General features: G+C 38.3%; 1 annotated feature.

Annotated features, from left to right (window-relative positions):
• Positions 2,483 to 3,682: an enhancer, noted in NCBI's record as "MED14-independent group 3 enhancer chr1:101301135-101302334 (GRCh37/hg19 assembly coordinates)". NCBI's record gives its function as "activates an origin of replication core promoter dependent on BRD2, BRD4, P300/CBP and CDK7 cofactors, and independent of MED14, by STARR-seq in HCT116 cells {active_cell/tissue: HCT116}" and the evidence as "EXISTENCE:reporter gene assay evidence [ECO:0000049][PMID:35650434]".

Consider the following 6,431-nt stretch of genomic DNA (forward strand, 5'->3'; position numbering starts at 1 on the left):
ACACTAACTTGTAATGATAACTCATTAAAAATATGACTTGTCACTGATGATATGCATTTGTTAAGAATACACTAATAATTAAACTATACCAAAGTAAAAATGTAACACTAATAACTAACATTGGTCATAGCATGACATGGCTAATCTTTCAAGAGTTAGGGTTTTTGCTTTGTGGTCTTTTTTTTAATGGGTTGACTGATTAGTCAAAGAGATGTACTTTCATACACTACTGATGGTGGAAGGCTACAGATCAGACATCAGACTATCCGGGAAGAATTTTAAAAATATAATTGCTTGTCACCAGCCCTTGTACTGCGCCCTCAACTCCCCATCTTTAATTAGAATTTTTGTCCGCAGGCCCAGGCAGCAATGTTTATTGACAGTTCCTCAGGCAATTCTAATGAGCAGTCAGAGTTGAGACCCTGTTGTAGACCCTTCTGTATCAACTTTCAATTTAAATGTAGCCATTTTGATGCTTTCTCTGACTTGAGCCAGTGATTTGCCTTTTAAGGAAACTGGTGAAAATAAATCTAACACCCCTTGTTTTCACAATAATTTGAAGATAGAGTAATTATTCTGAGCCATCTTGCAAATATGTCCTGTTATAAAGGTTATTTTTAACAAATTTATATAGTTTAAAGCCCAGATAAAGAAATCAATCTATTTGCAGATAAACAATGTTTAATCTGTATGAGACAAGTCCCAAACCTTAACTGCAAATGGGCTAGATTTTGCATATGGCAGATAACTTGTAACTTAGTGAATATCCCAACAACTCTGTTGTCTTTCTTTAGCACAATACACTCTTATCTTCCCTGGTTTGGTTCTGTGTACCTATGCCCTAATAAAGTCTTACTATATGGCTTGTTTTCCTATCATTTTTATGACATGCATTCCCCTTTACATTAAATAAAAATTGTTCTTAGTCTTCATTAATTTCCTTTAAACTTTCCTGACAGCATTTCACCTGCCTCTCTTCTCAACTATGTCAATTGACATTGTCTTTTTCTTTACAGATTCTGTTTCAAAAACATCCTAGGAGTTAGAGTTAAGCATCTCTCTTAAGTACTTGATGTGTATTTAGTAGAATTAATGTACCCATTATCTTTGTTTTATTTGTGAAGGCCAAAGAAGTCTATGCTTTGGAAATGTTCAATGACTTACTCAAATGAAAAATAAAGGTTTCTGTTAGAAAGAAGCTATTTTCCTCCAGAGTAGCAGTTACTGAACTAACCATAGTTTATGGCCTATGATTTATGACATTGATAATAGGAATAATTGAAGTATCTTCATCACCAATTAAGGAGGTGGAAAAAGCATCAGACTGTGAATAGGCTGGGAATTGATTGGATTTCAAATTCCAGTCAGTTGAAGGGAGAAGATCTGGGCTCACATTATATCTTTTCTGCTTGCAGTAACTTTGATCAAGTTACTTAACCCTCTGTGATCCTGTTGAGGATAATAGCAATCTCATCTTACTGGGTTGCTGTGAAGAAAACTGAGATAATAACAGAGTAGGAACTCAGTGAATGTTTGAGGCTATTTTAAGGCATATAATTTTTTTTTGCAAACATGGAATAATAAAAAGCAAATAGCTTTGGAGTCCAGGAGACCTGAACAGCTGTGTAACTTCTGGCAAGTTACTTAACTTCTCTGTTTTCTCTGACTGCCATGAGGATTAAATAAAAGACTTATGTATGTAATTGACTATCTTCCCTGGTATCATCAGTATGTGAGAATGAATGCAGTAAAATTAAGAATACATTTTAGCAGCTCCTCCTCCTATCCCTTGCTTACAGCCTCCATACTTCTTGGGGCTGAGACAGCAATGCTTAGCAAGAGTGCCATCTGCTCCTCCACATCCACTTGCCAAGTCGCAGTTCGGCAGGGCCATGAGGCTTCTGATTATTGAGTTGTAAGTAGAAGCAATGTGTTTTTTATGACAACCTAACTTCTCTTGACTAATACATTCATCTCACTGCCTAAAGACTTTCTAGAAGTAATAGTGAATTTCTGTAAATGCCAATGAATATATCGTCAGTTAACGGGGGAAATCCAGGAGATCCCACTGCTACTTCTGAAATATCTGCTACCTAACCACCAGGGGGCTATCATCACCTACTGGGCACATGCATTTTCACTGTCTCCCTCAAGATGCCTGATATGGTTTGGCTTTGTGTCTCCTGATATGGTTTGGCTTTGTGTCTCCACCCAAATCTCATGTTGAATTGTAATCCCCAGTGTTGATCTAGTGGGAGGTGATTAAATCATGGGGGCAGATTTCCCCCTTGCTGTTCTTGTGATAGTGGGTTCTCACAAGATCTAGTTGTTTGGCAGTGTGTGGCACTTCCCCCTTTGCTCTGTCTCTTTCTCTTGCTCCAGCCATGTAGGACTTGCCAGCTTCCCCTCTGCCTTCTGCCATGATTGTAAGTTTCCTGAGCTTCCCCCCACCCCAGCCATGCTTCCTGTACAGCCTGTGGAACCGTGAGCCAATTAAACCTCTTCCCTTTATAAATTACCCAGGCTCAGATAGTTCTCTGTAGCAATATGAGAGCGGATGAATACGTGCCAAAACTATTTGTTGGGTTGTGATAAAAAGGGAGCATGCCTCTTTTCCCTTTTTTATGTTACACTGAATTCAAAGACTACCAAAGTAGTGTTGCTGTTGCCAATACCTTACTGAGTTTTAGTGGAAATGCCCTTTTATTGCTTGCTCTCTCTCCCTGACTGAGACAGGGCCCATGAGCAGGAGACAATTCCAAGTGACCCAGTATTATTGAAGACTGAGTAGACTCAGAAGTTGCCCTCTCTTCTGATGACTAAGGCTTTCATATTGGGTTAGGCACATTGATGTCTTACTTTTTCTGCCCTTAAGGTGAGTTATTTTCCAGGAGGATCTCCTCAGCACCTTCATAAGAATGGATTTGCCCAAATCTGTTCAGACATGCCTGAATTGCTTATGTGGATGCACTTAGCCTCAAACTGAGCTATACTCTCATGTGTGTGTACAGCACCTAGCGGAGCACTGGGAAACAGGTCCCACAACGAGTGGTGCTGCTGGTGGGAAAGGTAGTCACCGCAGCTTATATGGTAAGTTCTTTTTTCTTGTTTCTAAGATTTAAAAGAAGTTCCTTTCTCTCTTCTTCCAGACTTCTCTATTTTTCATCCTTTGATTCATTATTATCAGAGAGTTTGATTAGCTTTCAGTTTTATGCAGAGCAGCGCAGTCTTCCTGGCCACTGGGTTGGATTTATTTTTATATCTAATGGGAATCAGGTCACAGAAGATGGTTTCAGAATGTCTCACATCCGGCCTCCCTCACTCACTAAAATGTTAAGCTTTGTTCTTTTAAAATATTGATAAACACAATTGTTAATGAATTTTCCTTCAGTTTTCAACAGATCTGAATCTTTACACTTTTGGAATCTCATGAATCATGGGAAGTTCCCAAGGAAAATGGGAATTTTGGTGCTACGAAGTTTTTAAAAGGTTTTGATCTTTCTTTCAAGGTACTCTTCATGGGGAGTATGTGTGTCAAAATTTCACTTAGCTGATGTATTGCTATTAAAAGTGAATTGTTTCATTTCCTTTAGACAATACTAAAGGGAACGCTTTCTGCCGCTTTTAAGCGATAAAAATCTAAACACAATAGGTCTTAGTATAATAAGCATTTGGGTGTTACTTTTTCCTGTTAAGAGAAAAAACAACCCCATTTATAAACTGTTATTAAATCAAATTATTAATTCCAGTGGGACTTGAAACTCAGTAACAAAAATAATTGATATAATGTTACTTTTTCTGATTTTCCTGGGCTTCTTTACTAATTGGAAATTTTATTGCAAAATGAAAGCCTAAATAATAATAATAATATATATTTTTTTGAGACAGAATCTCACTCTGTCACCCACACTGGAGTGCAGTGGGATGATCTCAGCTCACTGCAACCTCCGCCTTCTGGGTTCACATGATTCTTATGCCTCAGCCACCCAAGTACCTGGGATTACAGGTGTGCACCACCAAGCCCAGCTAATTTCTGTATTTTTAGTAGAGATGGGGTTTCACCATGTTGGCCAGGCTGGTCTCGAATGCCTAACCTCAAGTGATCCACCTACCTCGGCCTCCCAAAGTGCTGGGATTATAGGCGTGAGCCACTGCGCCTGGCCAATGATTGAATTTTTGAACTGGGAGAAAACCTATTTAACTAAAACATTTATATTTATATAAATTTATATTTACGTCTCTCTTTCTATACACACACACACACACATACACACACACACACACACATATATATATGCTGAGGCCCAAAGAGTTTACATTATGTACCCAATGATACTGCCTTAGTCCGTTCATAGTACTATAAAAATACCACAGACAGAGCGACCTAAATGACAAACATTTATTTCTTACAATTCTGAAAGTTGGGGAGTCCAATATCAAGGCACCTGCAGATTCAATATCTAAGGGTTTACTTCCTGATCCACAGACTACTGTCTTCTTGATGTGTCTTCACATGGCAAAAAGAGCAAGGGAGCTCCCTGAGGTCTCTTTTATATGGGTAGTAATTCTATTCATGTGGCTCCATTCTCAGGACCTCATTACCTTCCAAAGGCCCCACCTTCCAATACCATCACCTTGTGGATTAGGATTTCAACATATGAATTTGGGGAGGACACAAACATCCCATCTCTATGGCAGGCACAAAGCTAGTTAATGAAAGATCTGATTACATGGTAGTTTCTATTTATTAGTATAAAAATAGCTCCTTATAATAGGCTTTGATTTATGTCAAAAATATTTATATTTAGGCAAAATGTAAGCAAGAATTTTGCTAACATTGTGCACATACCATTGATATATACTAAGCTCAGTCTACTTTTTTCCTCATCATTTCGTTACAGCTACAAAAATCTCCTTCTGTTGCTAAATGTAAGTTAAGAAAGAAAGGGAAGTTCTATAAAATAAATTGTTGAAACCTATGTTTATAAGAGAAATGCTAGTAATCTCCCATCTCCCTAAAGAAAAAAATCTTAGTTTTAAATACTTCAGAAGGTCTCATGATGAAATCTCCTTTGCAAAAATTATGACAATGAGAAAAATTTGACATAGGAAAATTATGACAGGGAAAGAAATCTGACCAAACTGACTCCACTGACTCCATCTTGCTTCTAATCTCCAAGCTGCCCTTCATCCCTGGCTGAAGGCCATGCTAACTATGGGAGGAATTTACTTTATTGTTTAACTTTGAGAAAAGGATAAGAGCCCCTTCCCAAAACAAACTTCTTCCTTGTTTGGGGACAAGACCACCTTTGTAAAACTAACAAATTAGTCATAAGATTAGAAATTATGGCTCAGGAGTGATGTAGCCAGAGGCCACAAGATTCCTAACCTCTCCAATTGCTCCTGTAAATAACATCACTATTGTAAAACCTAAGACTTGTGTTTGAGGTATTTTTCAGACCCTGCAATCAGATGGACCAGCTAGCACCATCCATACCAGTAAACTGGCTCATCTGGTCTTGTGGCCCCCACCCAGGAACAGACTCAGAACAAGAAGACAAGTTTTGACTCCCTATGATTTCTCCCCAACCCAACCAATCAGCATTCCCCATTCCCTAGCCTCTGTCCCCCAAACTATCCTTAAAAAATCCTAGCTTCCAAATTTTCATGGAGGCTGATTTGAGTAATAATAAACTCCTGTCCTTTCACTTGGCTGAGACTGCGATTATTAAATTTTTTCTCTATTGCAAAAACCTGCTGTTCTCAGTGCACTGGTTTTTCTAGGAAGCAGGCAAGATTAACCCTTTGGGGGAGTAGAAGACTATAATTTTATGAACTTGGTGTTTCACACTACCAAAATAGGTACATTGAAATTCCAACTTCATGTCAATACACTGCATGATTTTACAGCAACAAAAGCATCAGCCTCCTTACCAAATATGGATATTCAATTGAAATCTGAAATAATTAAAAAATGAAGGTGATGACCTTTAGTAATATAAAGAGAAGTTTACAATTACATTAACAAGTGTGATGACATTTATTTGAGGACACTATTCTGCTGGGTCACAGAACTGTGAATCTTTTCTGTGAAATCCCTACCTTAATTGAATTAGGCATTTCCCTAGTACCCTATACATACTTTTATTATAGAATGCTTATTGGATATCTCTTGCACACTACTTAAAATCCTTTCAGCCTCACTTCTTATTCCAGCCACTGCTGCGGCTACCTAACTAATACCTGCTTTGGTCAGTTTCATCCAGGAGCAAACTGACAGTCTCTCCCTATGTGCCTCTCACTTTCTACCTTGCCTGGGGCTTTTCTGATGCCCTGAGGCATGGGACACCTACAAAAACTTGCCCAAAACTTGTATCAGTCTGAGATCAATAAGAGAAGCAGAACCATTAGAGGCTCAATTTATATTTATA

Source organism: Homo sapiens, chromosome 1, assembly GCF_000001405.40.
Source record: "Homo sapiens chromosome 1, GRCh38.p14 Primary Assembly".
Lineage (NCBI taxonomy): Eukaryota > Metazoa > Chordata > Mammalia > Primates > Hominidae > Homo > Homo sapiens.